General features: G+C 36.6%; 1 protein-coding gene and 1 long non-coding RNA gene across 16 annotated transcripts in view; one reads left to right on the top strand and one right to left on the bottom strand.

Moving 5' to 3' along the window:
• EPSTI1 (epithelial stromal interaction 1) overlaps window positions 1-21,734 on the top strand; it is a 105,854-nt gene that overhangs the window by 74,726 nt on the left and 9,394 nt on the right. For 14 of the 15 annotated variants that reach the window (NM_001331228.2, XM_011535313.2, NM_033255.5 and 11 more), the window contains one exon: window positions 17,133-17,206. In NM_001331228.2, the coding sequence (NP_001318157.1) occupies window positions 17,133-17,206 (74 nt within the window). Of the gene's footprint in view, window positions 1-17,132; window positions 17,207-19,971; window positions 20,054-21,734 lie in introns of those variants that run through there. The other variant, XM_006719896.5, reaches the window with a different exon arrangement.
• On the bottom strand, window positions 186-19,979 carry LOC124903165 (uncharacterized). The gene is made up of 3 exons (XR_007063772.1): window positions 19,864-19,979; window positions 604-695; window positions 186-259 (listed from the first exon to the last, which is right to left on the bottom strand). It is a non-coding gene; the product is annotated as an uncharacterized LOC124903165 (long non-coding RNA).

Below are 21,734 nucleotides of genomic sequence, written 5' to 3'. Positions count from 1 at the left end.
TGCTAACTGTTTATTTGAGGTACTAGATAATTTTGAAGAATTTCTGAACAGAAATATTTAGACACATGAAAATCCTGAAAACAAGAATACAAGCATTGAAAATAAAAGGTGAGTTTCTGGATGTGTTTTAAGAGTATGGTGGTGGCTCCTTCTGGTCAAAACTTTCATGGTACCTAGCCTCATGGATGCACAGTGGATCTGCTGTAGTTGGTGCCAGTAGGTCACCAAGAAGATGATAGAGCACTGGTGAACTTCTCATCTGCAAAACAAAACACCACCACCATCACTGCTATTTTTAAACCGAAGATATATGAAATTAGAGATGGTATCCAGAGAATGTGATAATGCATAAGAAAGTAGGCATGCAAAGTTATGAAACTGGCATAAATGTTCACTAAAAATAGTTATACACATACAGTAAAACCAAGTTACACTACATGGGTATAAAAATATGTGAGGCATTCCATATGTTTTGAGCAATGGAAATCAGTGAAGTGAATGCAGAGCCTTCTAAGAAAAGTGCTTAAAGAATAATCTTCATTACAATGTGAAATTTCTGGTATGGTAACTGAAAATAGTCAGTGGCATACTTGATGTTCATACCTGCTTTTAATAGGCCAGAAGCTGCTCAGCATGAAATGAGAATGATGAGAAAGACCCATGGTTAGCTCCAAAGTGCCACTTTATTTCAGATCCTTTAAACGAGAAGAAAAGGGAGTGGGGTGGGGCTCCAGCTAACTAAATGATTTATCTTTCCCATCATTATTATTTTCCAACTTTTCCTCTTGTCATACTAGTGGTTGACAAATCCTGTCACTATTTCTTATAGAACATTTCTCAAATCTGTATATTCAGTTCTATAATTAACTAGAATTCTAACTCCCATTTTGATTTCCTTGATTTGGTTTAATTTATGTTTTCTTTGTCTTTCCCCAACAAGGTAATTTATTACAACAATTGTGTGTAAAAATTCCATTGAAAAATGAACTATTTGTATTCATTAGTGTTGCTATAATTTGACCCTTTTGAGTGCTATCTTCTTCCCAACAGTGTGGAACCCCTTTCTCATTCATAGTTTCGCCCAGCATATGGTATAAATGTGTCCCTAGGCTGTTTTGGGCACCATAGGTTGTCATTAAATCATTGAAAGAAATCATGCGAGTTGTAAATTTACTTATTTAGCTCCTGTGTAAGAAAGACGAATCATGAAACATTTTTATCCCTTAGTGTTTTTTTTTTTTTTAAATAAATATCTTTTTGTCTTGGCAAGATCCTAATCTTGAAATCTACAATCAAATAGGCAATGTTATGGTAAGATTCTAGTAGTTAACAAGTAGAAGCTAAATCTGGTACATAGTCATGTTGTACTTTTAATGATGTCTGCTAAATGACGTAAAAGTGTTCATTTGCTTCTATGAGCTTTTAACTTAACATAAAATTGTGAGGTACTTAGCATACTAAGGTGAATGTTGCAAAGTCAGTTGTAGATATGATTTATTTTTAAATAACTTCTAGTGGATTTTAAATAGTGTTTTTAAAAGTTTGACATATATATTTGGAACATAAAAACTGTTAAAAGTAGAACATTTGACAAACAGAATGCTTAACAAATTAGGATACTAGATCTGGGATTTAATTTTCAGGTTGAGCAGTTATTTTAAACAGTGAAAATTAAACTTTTTATTTCTTAATCTTGTTTTTATTCTAGACTTAGATAAATATTGATATACACATATTTTCTGGTTACTGATTGAACATATTTTTATTATATATCCTTTTACATAAATTATTTCGTTTAACTTACTGTAGCTTTCAGTAAAATTAATAGCTTTAATATACAAATAATTCCATCCTTAGGGATTTCAGTAACAGTAGACTACACAAGGATACTTATCCATCTATTCTACCTTACTTTTGCTTCTCTCTTTTTTTGCCTGACGTGTTGTTGTTGGGAAACGTTCATTGAAGGCATTTCTCTTTTTTTGAGACCAGGTCTCACTCTGTCACCCATATTGGAGTGCAGTGGCATGATCTTGGCTCACTGCAACCTCCGCCTCCCAGGCTCAAGTGATTCTCCTGCCTCAGCCCCCAAGTAGCTGGGATTACAGGTGCATGCCACTATCACCCAGCTAATTTTTGTATTTTTAGTAGAGATGGGGTTTCACCATGTTGGCCAGGCTGGTCTCGAACTCCTGACCTCAAATGATCCACCTGCCTTGGCCTCCCAAAGTGCTGGGATTACAGGCATGAGCCACCGCACCTGGCCAAAGGCATTTCTTTATTTGTAGAACCTTTCATTCCTTATCACTTGAATGATTTACCTTAAGAAAACAGGAGGATCATGTTTACTGTAAAAAGATACAAAACACAACACATTTTAATCATTGCATCCATTTATGTGTTTGTTTATTCCATTCATTCCGCAAATATTTATTGGATACCTACTATGGAATAATTCTTAGGTAAATAATCTAGGTTAAGTTTAGGTGACAGCACATAAGTTTTGTTCTATGTGTCTCTCTGACTTTCACATTTTTAATTACTCTTGGCTCTGGGGACAAAAGGAGCCTCCTCAAGTTTAAACTCTAAATATTTTACCTGTGATTCACTTCCTTCTTCTAGAAACTTATTTGTAATTCCTCTTTTTTCTATATCTTCAATACATTCTTCTCCATTGGATGCTTCCTTTTTTTGTCAGAAATATGCCACAGTTGGTGACAGTAGGTCATGAAGAAGATGATAGAGCACACGTGAACTTCTCATCTCATCTTACCATTCTAAAATAAACCAGCTAACCCCTTCCTTGATTTTGCTATCCTCAGAGATATTACCTTTTCTGCTTCTAGCAAATTTAAAAAAAGACAAAGGTAATTTTACTGTAACCACTTCTTTATTACCCACCTCATCCTTAATTCCTTATGATCTGGTTTATATTCACAAATGCTGTCACTGAAATTGCTTCCTAAATGTAAAATCCCTTCTGAACATACAGTTTGGTGGTCTTTTTGTAATTCCTATCTTCTCCCTGAACTCTGTAACACTAACACCACTTTAAAGCTTTCCTTCTCTGGCTTTTATTTTTTTTTTTAACTGTATTATTCTGGTTGATCTGTCTCAGAGTAATCTCTCCCAGCACTCATTCATTCATTCTATTGGCAAACATGTATTGAGTTCCTATTATATACTGAGCCTTGTGCAAGTTGATGAAGCTATAATTAAGATCAGGATAGACAAGGTTCCAGCTCTCCAGAAGTTTACATTTTAAGGGAGGAGTAAACAATTAAAAGGAGACTTAGAAATACAACATTATACTTTTAAATTTTATAGTGATTCATCACCTTGTAGTAATCTGTAGTAACTAATTGTATTAGTCAGTTATCTCATTACTATAAATAACTATCTGAGACTGGGTAATTTATAAAGAAAAGAGGTTTAATTGGCTCACAGTTCTACAGGCTATACAGAAAACATGGCTGGGGAGGCCTCAGGAAACTTAGAATCGTGGTAGAAGCCAAAGGGGAAGCAAGCACATCTTCACATGGCCAACAGGAGAGAGAGCAAAGGGGGATGTGCTATATACTTTTAAACAACCATATTTCCTGAGAACTCACTGTCATGAGAACAGCAGGGAGGCAATCCGCCTCCACAATCTAATCACCTTGCATCATGTCCCTTCCCCAAGATTGGGGATTACAATTCAACATGAGGTTTGGCTGGGGACACAGAGCCAAACCATAATACTAATGCTGCAAGGAAATAAATTAGGCGTTGTGATAATTTCAGAGTGATGTGTCAAATATTTTTGATTGCCTGCTTCTCTACAGCTCTGATTTTTCTTCAAGTATCCATCCTACTTTGCATGAACTGTGTTTCAGAAAAGGCAGGTGCTACCCCAGCTCCAGGGATTTATTCCCAAAGTGGTCTAACTCTTCATGAGAATTCCATTCTCCTTGACTGTGATTGGTTTCTCTGTGGACATGTGATACAGTTTTGACCAATGAGACTAAGGGAAGCCTACATTTTAGGATAGATTTTATCAATATGAAGTATACTACTTTTTGTATTTAATGATTTTTTAGCTTGATTTCTTTTTTGACTATCTTGTCTGATTCTAGTAATTCCTCTACCAGTTTTTTTTGGTTAGTATTTACATGACATTTCTTTAATCATTTAATTTTAACATCTCTGTGTCATTGTTTAAAGTAGATTTTGAGTGGAAAGAAATGTCTGGTTTTCCTTTTACCTAGTTTCAGAATCTCTTAATGGGTAGATTTGATGTGTTCTCATTTATTATGATTAGTAGCATATTTGCATGTATTTGTATTCTTACTGCATGATTTACTTTTTATTAGTTTTCTTTTTTTTTACTGACACTGAATTCTCTGTTTTATTTATTTACTGTTTTTTTTCTTCTCTCCACTCCCCCTTCCTGTACTATAAGAAATTTCACAGTGTTTCTATTTTTGTTTCTAATCTTGCATAGCCTTTGGTTGTCTCTTTTAATCTGAAAATACATGTCTCTCTTCACTTTTCCTTTTTTCTTCCTAATTTTCTTTTATGTCTCTTTACCCTTATTGTCTTTGCTCTCCATTTCTGGGACATCTATCAAATGGACTTTGGACATTTCAGATCTGTTCTGTATATAACTTCATTGTTTTCTTGTACTTCTTATCCCTTTGGCCTTTTTTTTTTAATTGGATTCTGGATGAAAGCTTTAGCTAGATCATCCTGCTCACTAAATTTTTTCTTGACTTTTCATTCTGCTTATTTGGCACATATTGAATATGTTTATTTACCAAGATTGCTGATTTGGTAAGTAGCAGTGTTCTGCTTTGTAAGTGCAATATTCTTTCTCATCTCATCTTATTTAATGTTTGTATATTTGTAACTATACAAACATAAGTTTTCTATTTACCATATTAACTGTTTTTTTCTTTCCATTTTAATCTTTATCTCCCATGGAATTCTTTCTCAAATGTTTGATTATTCTTATATGTATTTGGATATGCTGCTGAATGAGGTATGTAGGAGCTTGTCTTCTGTGTGGAGTAGACTCGTGTTCTCTTATAGTCAGTAGGTACTTGGGACGTTGCCCTGTTTCCCTGAGCCCAGCCATGCCTCTCTCATTCACTTCTTACCTTATGGGCCATGATAGTGCTGCCTACTATGTAGTGCAAGTGTGGGAGGGAAAAGAACCCACCACCAAGCTGCTCTTAGTGCAGTTTTCTAACTGATCATCTAAATGACTGTCCCAGTATTCCCTCCTGGAGCTCCTTCAGAAGCAGGTGGACTTAGCTCCAATTTATCCTGCACATTGGTTTTCCCTGGTAATGTAACCTGTCTCCTTTCTCTCTTTCAGAAACTTCTTAAAATATGTGATAAGCTGATTGCATTTATTGATTGTGCATGGTTATTGGTTTTATAGTCATTTAGAAAGTCATTGATTTTACAGTCAAAATATATACAAGAATCAGTAAAATACTGAAAGTCAGAAAATAAACTATTGGGTGACAGAGAAAATTATTATTATAGAACACATACAAAATTATAGTGAGAGACTTTTATAGGGAAGTCATGTAAAGCTGTACTCAAAATTACAACATTTTAATCCATTCAATACTAAAAAAAGAAATGAATTAAGCATCTGATCTACGAATTTAGAACAAAAACAATAAATGATCCTGAAGAAAGTAATTAAGATAAGAACAGAAATTAATAATAAAACTCTAAGAAACAGCTGTTATAAAAATCTAACAGCTTGTTCTTTGATAAGGTCAACAAATGCACACATCTTTGGTAAGTCTAATCAAGAAGAGATTAGTAAAAATGCAAATACACGGCATTAGAAATGAGGGACTAGAACCATAGATTTGGAAAAGTTTAAAATTATGTTACTATAAACAATGCTATGCTAATGAATTAAAAATTTGGATTAAGTGAATGATTTTCTAGGAAAATATATAACTCTAATGACTCACATAATTAAAACTCATAAAGACCAATGAAAATGCAAGTGATTTCTGAAGTTTTCTGAGAATTACTTCCCCCAGGAGGCTGAACTTGGATAATTTTAGAAGCAAGTTCCTTCAAATTTTCAAGGAACAGATTTTTTTTCCCTATGCTTTACAAATTATTTCAGAGTAAGAAAAAAGATGAAACATTTTAGAAGTTTATTTCACTATCCCCATGATGTCACAATCTGATAAAGGAAGCATGTGCACACTCACACACGTGTGCGCGCGTGCGCGCGCACACACACACACACACACACTCTCTCTCTCTCCCTCCCTCTCTCTCTCACAGATAGACCAATCTTATAAAGACAGAGATTAACATCTGAAGGAAAATTCTAGCTGATGAAATTTTTCTCTTAATAGCAATTTACCAAAGGAAAGTAGAGTTTATTCCAGGAATGCAAAGATAAGTAGCTATATATTAAAACTTTTTATATCTTATCACTGCAATAGGATAGGTCATGTGACAAGAATATTTGGCTCTTTAGTTACACAAAAAGACATTGATAAATTTTAATCTTTACTATCAATTAAAAAACACTTCAGTGAACTAAAAATAATATTTTCTTAACATACTTGTAGTCTTCTAAACCAATAACCAACATTATATTCAGTGGTGAAATACTAAAACTATGAACAACATAAGGATGTTTGCAACCCCTACCAAACTTGGTTGTTACCCAGTATTATTCTGGGAATTCCAACCTCATGCTACTCAAAGTTATTTGATAGAAAACTTATTTTTTTAACTAAAAAAAAATTCCCTGTTTTTACTGAATGGAACAAGGTTTGGATATTTTTTAACCAACTTGATAAAACTAAAAATAAAAGAGCTTTTCTAATTATTGGAAGTAGGTTGTTATTTATGCATGGGAGCAATTTGCCTGTGCAAACTAAGAGAATCAACTGAAAAATAATGAGAACAAATGGAGTTTAATAAGAGAGTTGGACCAGGCGCGGTGGCTCACTTCTGTAATCCCAGAACTTTGGGAGGCCGAGGCAGGAGGATCACCTGAGGTCAGGAGTTCGAGACCAGCCTGGCCAACATGGTGAAACCCCATCTCTACTAAAACTTAGCCAGGTGTGGTGGCAGGTGCCTGTAATTCTAGTTACTCGGGAGGCTGAGGCATGCAAATCACTTGAACCCAGGAGCCGGAGGTTGCAGTAAGCCAAGACTGCACCATTGCACCCTACCCTGGGCAACAAGAGCGAAACTCTGTTCCAAAAAAAAAAAAAAAAAAAAAGATTTGGTTAAAAAATATATACAAGAATCAACAACTTTCTCAAATACAAGCAAAACTTAATTAGAAAATACGTTATGGGACAAAAAGATCTAATCAAAAAGCAGCTATATAAATAATTGTTCAACAACTAAAAAAAATTAAAAACTTTCCTGGAATCCACAAAATCCAATTTTAATTGACAGAAAACATTATTTGTGTTTATAATGTTCAATATGATATTTTGAAGTATATAAACATTGTGAAATGGCTAAGTCTAGCTAATTAACAAATGCATTACCTCACAGTTACTATTTTTGTGGTGAGAGCACTTAACATTCTTTGCATTTTCAAGAATATAATAAATGATCATTATTTATTGTCATTAATTACAACTGTCATTAACCTTGCTGTACAATAGATCTCTTGAATTTATTCCCTATATCTAACTGTAATTACATATCCTTTGACCAATATCTCCCTGTACTTCACCATTTCCTCCTAACCCCCCCAGCCTCTGGTAACCATGATTCTACTCTATTTCTATGAGATCAGCTTTTTAAAGTCCATATATAAATGATATCATGTGGTATTTGTCTTTCTGTGCCTGGCTTATTTCATTTAACATAATGTCCTCTGGGTTCATCCATGTTGTTGCAAATGACAAGATTTCCTTCTTTTTATGGTGGAATAATATTCCATTGTGTGTATATCCCACATTTTCTTTATCCATTGATGGACACTTAGGTTGATTCCATATCTTGGCTATTGTGAACAGTACTGCAATAAACATGGGGGTGCAGATATCTCTTTGACATACTTGTTTTATTTCCTTTGGATAGACACCCAGTAGTGGGATTGCTGGATCATATGGTACTTCTATTTTTAATTTTTTGAGAGAACTTACACCTCTTTTCATAATGGCTGTACTAATTTACACCCCCCACAAGCAGCGTGTAAGGGTTCCCTTTTCTCCATATTCTTGCCATCGCTTGTTATCTTTTGTCCTTTTTGATGATAGCCTTGTAATGGGGGTGAGATAATAGCTCATCGTGGTTTTAGTTTGCATTTTCCTGATGGTTAGTCATGTTGAGCATTTTTTCATATACCTGTTGGCCATTTGCATGTTTTCTTTCAAGAAATAGCTACACAGGCCTTTTGCCTATTTTTTAAATTGTTATTATTTTTGAGATGGAGTTTCGCTCTTGTTGCCCAGGCTGGAGTGCAATGGCATGATCTTGGCACACTGCAAACTCTGCCTCTTGTTTTCAAGAGATTCTCCTGCCTCAGCCTCCTGAGTAGCTGGGATTACAGGCGCCCACCACCACACCCAGCTATTTTTTTTTTTTTTTTGTATTTTTAGTCGAGACAGGGTTTCACCATGTTGATCAGGCTGATCTTGAACTCCTGACCTCAGGTGATCCACCTGCCTAGGCCTCCCAAAGTGCTGGGATTATAGGCATGAGCCACTGCGCCTGGCCCTTTTTGCTAATTTTAAAAATTAGGTTATTTGTTCTCTTGCTATTGAGTTGTTTGAGTACCTTATGTGTTTTGGATACTGACCCCCTATTAGATGTATAGTTTACAGATATTTTCTCCCATTCTGTAGATTGTCTCTTTAGTCTGCTGATTGTTTCCTTTGATGTGGAGAAGCTTTTTAGTTTGATGTAATCTCATTTGTCTGTTTTTGCTTTTGTTGCTTGTCCTTTTAAAGTCTTATCCAAAAAATCCTTGCCCAGACCAATGTCATGGAGCTTTTCCACTACATTTTCTTTTCCTTTTTTTTTTTTTTTTTTTCATAACAGAGTCTCTCTGTCACCCAGGCTGGAGTGCAGTGGCACCATCTCGGCTCACTGCGGCCTCTGCCTTTGGGATTCAAACAATTCTCATGACTCAGCCTCCCAAGTATCTGGGATTACAGGTGTGTGCCACCGTGCCTGGCTAATTTTTGTATTTTCAGTAGAGACGGGGCTTTGCCATATTGGCCAGGCTGGTCTCAAACTCCTAGCCTGCAGTGATCTGCCTGCCTCGGCCTCCCAAAGGGTGGGGATTACAGGCATGAACCACTGTGCCCAGCTTCCCCCATATTCTCTTCTAGTACTTTCCTAGTTTCAGGTTTTACATTTAAAGTCTTTAATCCATTTTGAGTTGATTATTTTTTAACGCCTTTTGTGAAAACTGTCAAATTGAGTTGTTTTTTGTATGTGATGAGAGAAAAGGGTTTAATTTCATCCTTCTGCATGTGGATATTCAGTTTTCCCACTACTGTTTATTGAGGAGACTGTCCTTTCCCCTATGTTCTTGGCCCTTTTGCCAAAAATCAGTTGGCTCTGCATGTGTGGATGTATTTTTGGACTCTCTATTCTGTTCCATTGGTTTGTATGCCAGTACCACGCTGTTTTGGTTATTATACATAAAAGTCAATTCGAATAAAGCAGAGATGGCTAATGTTCCCGAATGCTAAAACTCAATATTTCAGTAACTATAGTTCTATCCAAGTTTACTTGTAAGTTTAATGAAATTCTAGTAATAAATTTCAATGGAATTTGAGGTAATTTGAAAATACTGTTTCTAAATTTCAACTGAGAGAAAAATAATGAAATTTAAACTTTAGAAAAATATGAATAATAATTTGTGTATTTGTTGGGGTAAGGAGAACTTCCACTAGTAGACGTCAATATATACCACAAACACTGAAGTACTATTACTGGTGAGAGGATAAACTGAGAGGCACTTTGGCAACATCAAATTCTGAAGAGTTTCCTAAAAGTAAAAATATTAGATCTAAAGGTATACATTTATTCTGAGGAAATAATGAGAGATACAGACAAGATATTTGTACAAGGTTGTTTATTTTTAACATAAGATTAATGGGAAATTTGAAACAGTTTGTTCAGTGATACAGGATTTGAAGGTTTTGGAGTTTGGAATAAATACCATGCAGCAATTACTACCACATTTTAATAACATAATAGAAATATGCTCACATATATGAAAATGAAAACAAAGATCATAAAATAGAGTGCAGATAAGTTTTGAAACCTACGTCTACCTTGCATTTTGTGTAGGAAATATTTTTAGGTGGGAGACATAGAGCTGTGATTCCATGATTGTTGTAGCTGGAAGTTTATTTCTCTCTCTGTTAAAATGATAGAACTAGCAACAGCAAATACAAAGTTACAATTAGATAAGAGGAATATGTTTTGATGTTCTGTTATACAGTGGAGTGACTGTGGTTGACAGTAAGATGATAGTGTACCTTACAAAATAGCTAGATAAGAGGCTTTGGAATATTCTCACTACAAATAAATGATAAATGCATGAGATCATGGACACACTAAGTGCCCTGATTTGATCATTTTACAACATACATATGTATCAAAATATCAAATTGTATCCTATAAATATGTACAAACTGTCAATTAAAAAATTAAAAATTAAAAACAATAGTAAGGGGAGAGTGTACATTACTTGTGTTATTTTTAAACTCTACTTCACCCATTAGTATTTATTTCCTTTGATTTGGTTGGTGCTCTGAAAATTTTGGGTGGTAGCTTCTGCCTTTTCTCCCCATTCTTGATAGCCAAGGCCATCTTTCTCCTTCAAGGCAAAGGTATTACTGTGGATGCCGGAGAACCAGGACTTCTTTAAACTCTCCTCCTTCCCCCGAAAGCTTTTCTGTATTAAACCTTCAAAGGAAGGCATTCTTGAACTTCATGACTTCATGGTCTCAACTCTCCTGCTTCCACTATCCCTTTCCTCTTGTTGTGTTGAGAGAACAGGCTCTCCTGGGAGAAGTTTGTTTTGCCAGGCGATGGCATTTTCATGTTTACATAAAGCAGTCAAGCTGAACCATGTCGGAACATGCTCTGTTGGGATTCAGACATGGTTTTAAAATGACCCCATGTTCATCTTCAATTACCACACTGAAACTTTGCTTTGGAGCATGTTTTCCCTCTAACCTTGTCACATTTCTTAAGCATCCAGCTTTACACACACCTGTCTGTTGTATAGTTGACCCTTCTGTAGAACAGGGCACCATCAGACAATTGGAGCCCAGAGAAATGATGTTTGCAACCTCTTGCTGGAAATGGCAACCCCTCTTCTTATTATTGACCTGGGCTCGAAGCAGAGCTATTGGTGCCATCCTGCAGCTCCCCAGCAGAGCAGCCCTCCTGGGTGAGCACTGCATCGGGTGGCCACAGGCAGTGGCGCTATTTGCAGTGTTGTCCTCATTTACCACATACCACTTGGCCAATGTTTGTAGGAAGTTCCATACTTTCAATCTCTAGGATGGTATTTTGTTTATCATATCACCAACCTACCCTCGTTTGTATGCAGCTCTGTATGAATGTAGAGATTTGCATAGCACAGTGATAAGATGTGCACAAACACAAAGTGTTGAACACCCTTCTCCTGTTTGCATTCCTTCCTTGTATTCCCATGTCATGTAGCTTAATTTTGTGTTTAGCAACTCATTTCTTTTTGCCCTGTGTCAGAGTTGTTTCTGGGTGTGTCTGCCTCATTATACTGTGATTTATTTCAGGGTGGAGCTGTGCTGATATCTGTACCTTTAGCATGAACCTAGGTATCTGGAAAATGGTTGGCGTGTGACAATATGCATTGAGTAGGCCAGGCCTTAACAATGCCTCAGATGTTGCATGTCATTGTCCTCCTGCTTAGAGCACTTTGATGCTTTTCATGTCCCGAGCTTGGTCCTTGAAACAAGAACAACTTATTTTTTATTTGCTTAACTCTAGATATTGAACTTCTCTGTGGGATCTCAGTAAATGAACCAAGAATATGCTTATAAGGCATGCAGACACATCCTCGGTGGCTGTCAGTTCAGCAGAACAAATTAATTAGCTGAAATTATCCTTCTTAGTACGGAAGAAAAACCAGCCTCTCCTTAGTAAATATGCTTTGCTAGTTATAGGATAATAATCCTGAGTGCAGCGATGCCAGCACCTTCCCTTCGGCCATCTGGAGCAATGTTCTTGCATGGTGATGCCTCATCAGCTCCCGTCCGCGTTTCCCTCCTGGTCTTTATCTCTTCTCCCCTTTCCTTGCCTCCGTAATAGGATGATGTATGTTGCTCTCTTCCCGTCTTTTCTTCCTCCCTAACAGTTCTTAGCTTCATGTGTGGTGTTTCGCTCTTTTATATCTCTCTGTGTTAAAAATTACATATTTATTGGGATTTTTAAATAAAGGAAAGCATAAGAAAACAGAAATGGCCTCTCACACTGATAATAAATTCCTACTGATGGTATGAGGAAATAATATATACACATGGTTCAGAAGTTAAAAAACAAAAACTATGTAAGATAGTAAAGCATCCTTTTCTTGCCCATTCACACTTCAAGCGCCGCTACCCAGTGTTAATTACAGTTAACATTTTCTTGTGTAGTTTTTCATTAAATGTTTTGGATACACATCAGCATATAAAAGTCAAAATGAATGTATGTATATATTTTCTATTTATATAGAAGCGTCCTAAGAAAACGGCTCTGAACCTATCTTTTATCACTTAATGTATCTTAGAGATCTCTCCATAGGCCCCTGCTCTACCTTACAAAACATCCATCTTAGTCTTTGTAACTGTTCCATTGTATTCCATTGCGCTGATGGTCTCACTTATGGTACAAGTGTTTTGTTGGTGGGCATTAACATGTTTCCCTGAACTTTTACAGTTTCAATAATATAACTGTGAATATTCATATACATACATCTTTGAACACTTCTGCAAGAGATGTATACGTCTTACGTTTTGATGCTTATTGCTAAATTGACTTCCAAAAACTAAATTAGGTTTCACTAATTTAGATGCTATACCAGAGTGTTTTCTGTCAAACTTTTCTGATTTTCGTCAATACAATAGAAACACTTTATCTCATCGTTTTAATATTTCTTTGATTTTGAGTGAAGATAATGACCATTTTGAACTGACAGGCAACCTGTAGTTTATCTGTGAACTGCCTGTTCCTATCCCTTGGCCCTTTTTCTTTTTGGTTGTTTTTTCCTTATTGGTTTATGTGAAGTCCTTACCCACTTTCTGGGACATTTCCTGAGTCTCAGCCTAAAATAGTCACTGAACCACTGAATCTCACATCAGTGTGTTTTAATCCTCTGCCTGGGATTATTGTTGGATATTTTTCTCACTTGTTTATGGGTTTCCTTTCTCTAGAATATAAACTCTAAAGGAGCAAAGATCTCATCTATCTTGTTCACTACTATAGCCTATCATGTAGATGCAAGCCTGGCTCATAATAGACACTCAGATATTTAATGAATGAATAAATGAAAATTGAATTAGCCTATGCATATCCTAAACATTCATTAACAGTTAATTTTTTAATTTTATGGTATTTTTTCCAAATGAAAAGTTTGAATTTTCATGCAGCTAAATTTATTAATCTTTTTCTTTTTCTAACTTCTGGAACTTCCTCACTCCAAGTTTATAAATAAATTCACCTGTGCCACCTTTGAAAACTTCTATTCCCATCTTCTAGGCTCAAATCTTAGACTTCTATAAAATTTATTTAATCGAAATTAAGGGTCTAGTTTTGATCTTTCTTACAGTAGTCGGCTAGTCCATCATCATTCATGAAACTCTGTCACCTGCATTGGTTTAGCACAACCTTATGGTAAACTACATTTCCATATGTATCATGTCTCTTCCTAGACTCAAATTGTTTTAATTACTATAGTTTTATTTTCTTCAACTTTTAAGCTCAGGGATTCATGTACAGGATGTGCAGGTTTGTTACATAGGTAAACATGTGCCATGGTGGTTTGCTGCACAGATCAACCCAGTACCTAGGTAATAAGCCCAGCATCCATTAGCTCTCCCTCCCCCTGCATCCTCCACTCCAACAGGCCCCAGTGTGTGTTGTCCCCATCCATGTGTTCTCATATGATATCTTTCAATGTTTGATGAAGCTGGTTCTTTCTCATTTTTTGTTTTCTTTTCCAGTATTTTTGTATGGCTGTGATTGTATTTTTTTTCTCAGACAAGTTGCATGATCATTTTGCCAAGTCTGAAAAAATTATCTTAAAAATTTTAAAGTAACATGTCATAGTATGCATATATATATATGTATGTATTTTATACTTTTTTTGTCTTTGTGTCATACTCCAGAACTAATGAGAGTTAGTTTGTTCAGAATGCATTGTATTAAACTCACAATGGGCCAGATACCAGAAGTTGCTCCTTGGAGAAATAGGATTAATGAAAGTGAAAATAATCAGCATCCTTTGGCAAGAAGGATTTAGATTTGTGCTTAGGTTATATATATTCTGCTAAAACTTTTGAATGTGAATGGGTCCTGTAGTTCTGGACATGACTGTGTATACTTTATGATGAGCCACCGTGAGGATATCCTTAATTCCAACCATTTATTTTGAATGCATCCTGCAGAAGATTATTAGATACGAGAAAATGTAAGCCCTGGTCTTTATTTTGCTACTAATAAGCTATTTAGCTCTTGACAAGTTACTAAAACTGTGTCTCTGATCCCATTTCCTTATCTGTAAGGTGAGGATGATATTGCTCATTCATTTATCACATAATACTTTGTTTGCCTGCCTACCTTTGCAATTGTTGTTAGGATCAAATAATACAATTCTGGTAAAACTTGTATTTGAAAATATTAAGGTTTTCTGGTTAAACATTGCATATCAAAAGCATTTCATTTGCTTATGTTTTATCACTCTCTCCCCATATACCACTAAAAATACAGGAATTTTTTTAAAAAGCCATAAGCCAACAAGAGCAAAAGAACAGACTAGTAGACTGCAGCAAAGATATAAGCCAAAATTTTAAATCTGGAACTAGATGGTCAGTGGTAACTGATTTAGTGGAGCAGGGAAAGCCAGTACTCATCTGAAAGAAGCAGTAAGACAGAGAAGTTGGTTAAGTTGAGGAATCAGAGGCACCTGGTACCTTTGAAGCCTAGAGTTGAAAACAGGAGGATGAATTAGAAACTTGAATGAGGAGCTACAGGATTTCTAGATCCCTCTCCTACCACATTGAATGTTAAAAAAAAAAAAGTTGTAAGAGAATGACGATGGGGCTGTACTATGAGAGGAAGTTGGGATTGGGGTGAAGGTAGTAATAGAGACATCAATCTTTTTTCCATTGTAGGTAGTCAAAAGATAATACAGTTTTTTAAAAATTAAGAAATGAGTTCATGTCCTTTGTAGGGACATGGATGAAATTGGAAATCATCATTCTCAGTAAACTATCGCAAGAACAAAAAACCAAACACCGCATATTCTCACTCATAGGTGGGAATTGAACAATGAGAACACATGGACACAGGAAGGGGAACATCACACTCTGGGGACTGTTGTGGGGTGGGGGGAAGGGGGGAGGGATAGCATTGGGAGATATACCTAATGCTAGATGACGAGTTAGTGGGTGCAGCGCACCAGCATGGCACATGTATACATATGTAACTAACCTGCACATTGTGCACATGTACCCTAAAACTTAAAGTATAATAATAAAAAAAAATTAAGAAATGAATAAACATGCATACTATTAAGAAGAAGATAATTACTTATGAAACCACATGCAGGAATTGAAAATGATTGTGGAGACGAGGGAGAGGACAGGAGCTTCTTTCACATTGGTATACTTGGTAGTACTAATAAAGAGTACTAATATTTGGTAGACTAAAAAATGATCCTATTGTGCAAGAGTGAGACTTGAGCATAAAGCTTGGCAGCAAGGTGTATAACAAATGCTTATTGAGTGGACAAATATTATTCATTGATTTCAAAAACTCAAATATTATTCAATGATTTCCCCTTATTAGTGTTATATAGGAATTAGGGTTAAGTAATGTGCTTTAGGGATTGATGAGCAATGTATTTGGAATATCACAGTATAAGAAATAAGTCTTTTTATTTTGGGGGACTGTGGAATATTAGAGGGTCTTTGAACAAAGTTAATAAAATGTCAGCCTGAACTTTGAGTTTTTTTGTATACTTTTCATCAAGGAAGTTTGGGGTTAAAACAACAATAGCAACCTTTTATTGGTATGTGTTAAGACGTGACAGTATTTTCTCTACCAGAAAATCTCTCTGACTCAGGCACTGGTATATGACTTGGGCCTAATAATTTTCTTCTCTTTGCATTTTTTTTGTCTTTGAAATGGGATTAAAATTTATTCTGCCTTAGGGTAGACAGTTGGAAATTAGAGAAATCCTGGGATTGGTTCTTCGGTATAATACTGTAAACATAGTAACTAGGTCTGGAAGTTAAGTTGCCTCTTCCAAGAAGATAAGCAGACTGTTGGAAGCTAAAGATTTAGTTATAATAATGTGATTTATATGAAGCAAAGTATCTCCTCCAGAGATCTCAAAGTTCTGCTGGTATTAGAAGTAACTAATCAATAATAGGTGAGTGCTTACTCTCCAGGATGGAGAATGTTTTATTAACAGAATTACACTATAAGATTGAGTCCAATATTTATTTGTAAGTTGCTCTGAATTTATCAGGAAAGAAATGCTAGAGAAATACCAAGAAATAGTATTGTGTGATATTCCTGAAGGAACTAATTTGATTTGTTGTTCTCTGTAAGACATAGATGAGTTTGACTTACATTGTATTTTTTTCTGTTTGTGTTGTACCTATTGATCTAGTATCTTGACCATGCACACTGGCTTTTAATCTAGCAATTTTACACTCACAGAGCTATTCTGTTTGACTAAGCCACAGTTATTTGCTACCTACGTATATAAGAAAATAATTTCACATCCAAATAGTACTTAAGTAAAAGTTTCAAAAATGAAATATTGTACCAGTTGAGGTTTAAATATGTAATTGATTTGGGTATCTTCTGTACAACTGTGTTAATTGAAAACCATATTTTAAAACTTTTATTGTTCCTAGAGTGAATTACTGGAACTGAAACGGCAGCAGCAAGAGCAAGAAAGAGCCAAAATCCACCAGACTGAACACAGGAGGTAAAACTGGCTAATAAAATAAGCATCCTTGGTTAAATCAATTACCTAGAAAGTTTGTACAGTGTTTTAGGAAAGCATTACGATAACATTATTAATATGGTTTTGGAATGCGTGTTACCTTTAAATCTGTTATTGGGACGTGATATATGTAGAGGTATGCCAACTGCTACATATATAAGTACACACGTGTGTACATATGTGCATGCACAATTTTCTTGGATAGGTGGCATTATAAACTCACATTAGAAAACTGACTCATGTTCTTGTGTGTTCAATTAAGGTATATTTAATTTGCCTACCGTAGGACAAAACATCCTAGTTTGAGACGATAGTCTACCATTTATAGACTTAGTTATAACACTTAGATCAATATAGATGGTCAGATACCCATACTTGAGTGCAAAAGCTCAGACAAAAACTCACTAACATTATTTAATATTGACACATTAGAGAAAAAAAATCTTAGAACCATTAAGTAATTTTCAAATAGTCTAAGCACTCTCCATCTTAATCCTAATATCAGACTTAAGAATACCTAGTAAAATATCATGTTACTGTTGGGACAGTGCTAATAAGCACCATATTGTATGCCATTATTATGCTAAGATTTCTAGGGGGACACGAGTTGAGTTCATTAGGGGTGTACTTGAGTATCTTGGAGAAGAATGTAAGGGTTTTCACAATTTAAAGGGACAAATTCTTTTGATAGTGAATGGCTTTTTTTGAACGTATTTAACCTTCCCACTGTCACTAAACTGTATTTTTAAGTTATGTTGGTTTCATTTTCTAAATGAGAGACTTTAAAAAGCATTCAGTGGAAGCTCCCTGTTCTGATGGTGCCTCTAACTGTGGGCGGGGAGCTCACTTTTATTTGACTGAACTATGTTGTCCCCAGAGTCCAGTCAAAATAGTTTTGAAACTACAAATGTGAATTATATGTTTTTTCTCTTATTTAAGGAAATATCAAAACTCTGATATGTCGGTTAGGCTATATTGTTGGGTAAGATGGTGGTGGGGAAGCATGCTAACTACTTATTTATTATAAAGTAGGCCATAATTTAGCCATTTTATTGCTGTTTATTATTTTCTCTCTTTTTTCTTTTTTTTTTTTTGAGACAGAGTCTCACTCTTTTGCCCAGGTGGGAGTGCGGTGGCAGGATCTCGGCTCACTGCAAACTCTGCCTCCCGGGTTCAAGTGACTCTCCTGCCTCAGCCTCCTGAGTAGTTGGGATTACAGGCACGTGCCACCATGCCCAGCTAATTTTTGTATTTTTAGTGGAGACGGGGTTTCACTGTGTTGGCCAGGCTGGTCTTGAACTCCTGACCTCAGGTGATCTGCCTGCCTCAGCCTCCCAAAGTACTGGGATTACAGGAGTGAGCCACCGCACCTGCCCTATTTTCTCTTTAAAATACTTCCTGTTTAAAAAACACTTGATATTGTATTTATAAACTGATTGCTAGTAGTAGCCAGTTATTTCTCTGGATTTCTGAGGATTAATTGAATTGTAAGACTTTAAGCATCTTAAACACAGTGATGTGTCACATTAATAGGCTCCATTGCTGAAATATTTATCTTTGATGGGCACCTAATAAACACCCAAGCTATTTGATTAGAGGTGGAAAAGATAACTTTTTTGTTATAGGAATCTTGGCTTTCATTCTTTATTTCCATACTACTGAATACCTAAATATTGGTGGGGCTGTTTAATTTCTATACGTTATTTTTTCTTTCTTTTGATTCTACTTAAATAGATCCAATAAATGTATAGCTCCAAATTTAATCCAAGAAGAGATTTTTCTAGATAATAAACTCAGTAATTAGTTTTGAAGTATCTGATCAAGTCATTAAATATATATTTTATGCTCTTCATCAATTTTTGAAAAGAGCTTACGTTTGTATTGCCTTTAAAGTGTGCCATGAGCTTTCCCATGTTATCATGTGAGAATACATACTCAATGAACTCTTAATAAAATAGCCGTGTCCATTCTTACTCAAGGCAACAACACAAGCTATATAGTGTGTGTGTAGGGGATGTAAATTAGGTTTTCTCCAAAGGCACAATTTTATTGGCATCAAAAGGACAACGTGCTTTCTACAGTTTAAAAGTTCACATTGCAGAAAACTCAACTCTGAGTATTATAATAGAAAGCACTGAGATTCCTGACAAGCTTTTCAATGAACCTGTAATGAGCTTGAGTGCACCTGCACCTAACCCGTTGTAACTATTTGAGTAGGAGAAGACAAGTAGAAATTCCAGAGAGAAACGACAGAGCATGGGGGTCAAGGACTTGAAAGGATTTGGGCCATGAAGTGAAAACTGGATGAACTGAATTGATTTATTCAAACTTGAACCATCCCTGAATAATAGTTTTTATCCAAATTAACCCTCAGAAGAAAACCCAGAGCACAATTTTGACTGCAGTAGCATGTATGTACTTTCTAAAACTATTAAACAAAAATAGAAATTGGTTCTTTTCCCTCCCATTTAGATTCTTGATAGGAATTGAGAGAAACAAACTCTTTCCCACCCATTATCTCTGGTTGACTCACACTGCTGTGGACATAGGCAAGTTGAGGACACTCCTATAGTATCAAAGAGTGCTCAACCACTCTGATGTCCTCTTAGTAACTGATGCTCAAAAGTGAATCACATTACCTTATGTCTTCATGACAAGGCATCAGTCTTCGCAGGGTTTGAGTGAATTGAGAGCAATTGCCAGTGAGCTGTTTTGCAGTCTGCACTCATCATCCATGTTGTTTTCAGGGGTGAAGAACGTGTGCCAGGAAGATTTGTTTCATTCAGTAACTACATTATCAGGCTACACTCCATAAAGGCTGTGTCCTAGGCTCCGGGAATAGGGCAAAACACGGCAGAAGGGGTGCCTCACCATGTGGAAATTATAATCTGGAGGAGAGAAATGGAAGTCAACAATCAAAGGCACTGTTATTTCAGATGGTGATGTGTACTGTGAGGACAATATCACAAGGTGACGTTAAAGAAGAAATTGGAGATGATAGGTTACTTAGGAAGGCCTCACTGCAGAGGTGACATCCAAGGACAAGGAAGAACCAGCCACATAGAGACTAGGGGCAGATGCATGGACTTAGATGGCCTACGAAGAGGGGAAGAGCAAGTGCAGAGGCTCTAAAGTACAAATGAGCTTGGACTGTTTGAGTCCCAAGTGATGGGATTTTTTTTTTTTTTTTTTGAGACAGAGTTTTGCTCTGTCGCCCAGGCTGGAGTGCAGTGACATCATCTCCACTCACTGCAAACTCCACCTCCCAGGTTCAAGCGATTCTCCTGCCTCAGCCTCCTGAGTAGCTGGGACTATAGGTGCCCACCACCATGCCGGGCTAATTTTTGTGTTTTTAGTAGAGATGAGGTTTTGCCAGGTTGGCCAGGCTGGTCTCCCGACCTCAAGTGATGCACCAGCCTCAGCCTTCCAAAGCACTGGGATTACAGGCATGAGCCACCACACCTCACCCCATGTGATGGGATTATAGTGAGTGAAGAAGAGAATGATACTCAGTGGGGGAGGAAAGGTAGGCAGGAGCAAGATAACACAACCTTTTATAAGCCAGTTTTATTCTAAGACCAATGGGAAGCTGTGGGAGAATTTTAAGCAAAAGGAAGACATTTCTTTCATAATCTAGTAAGGTTGTTGTATGGGGACTAGATTACGGAAGGTGGGAGTGAAAGCACTAGCAAGGTGAAGATATAGTAATTTGAACTAGAATGGTATCCATGGAAAGAAATGAGTGAATTTAGGTTGTGTTCAGGAGGTAGAGCAAACAAGCCTTGTAGCGGTTTGGGTGTGGGGTGGAGGATGCTGAGTGAAAGCCCATCTTTGTTAATGACAAAAAGACTGGATAAGAACAGCTCCAGGCATGCAGGCAGTCCAGGATACCAGTGGTTGTGTTGTTTACTGGGGAGCAGGGTCACTTTCCTTTTCTTGATAGTTGAGTCTCCAGCGAAGTAGGATACTATTCTATCTGCATGCTGAGAGATTCAGAGAAGGTGACTTAAACATGGAGCTTGGCAGTGAAGCAGGCTGACTAGAATATGGCACTTGGGTAGATTTTATGGTAAGACAGGAAAGAAGCTTTATAATAGCTGAGGTGGAACCGCAGCCCGATGGGACCTAAAGTTGTTGAGAGACAGCAACTGAGCCCACACACGCCTGGCATCTTAGCTAGCACTGAGCAAGCGCAGACAGCCAGAAACCCCCTCCAGCCTTTCACTTTGCTACCCAGCCTTTATTTGCCTCAAAGTTCCCTAATCTCCCACAGTCACTGGCCTGTAGCCACTCACCATGACCACATTCTGCTAATCTTCATGACTGAACAAGAGGCTCATGTGACTGGTTCCTGCCTCCCTTCCTTCCATAAATGTATATTTGCTGCTATGCACCAGGCATTGTGTTTCTGCTTCCCAGAAGCTTATAGTCTTATTTCTGCACTTCCTAAATAATCTGTTGATGTCATAGGGTACCTATTGCAGTGCCATTTCTTCAGCTTCCAAGTCCC

Source organism: Homo sapiens, chromosome 13 (genome assembly GCF_000001405.40).
Source record: "Homo sapiens chromosome 13, GRCh38.p14 Primary Assembly".
NCBI classification, from domain to species: Eukaryota; Metazoa; Chordata; class Mammalia; order Primates; family Hominidae; genus Homo; species Homo sapiens.
Note: the sequence above shows the minus strand (reverse complement) of the source record. Positions and strands in the feature narration are given on the sequence as shown.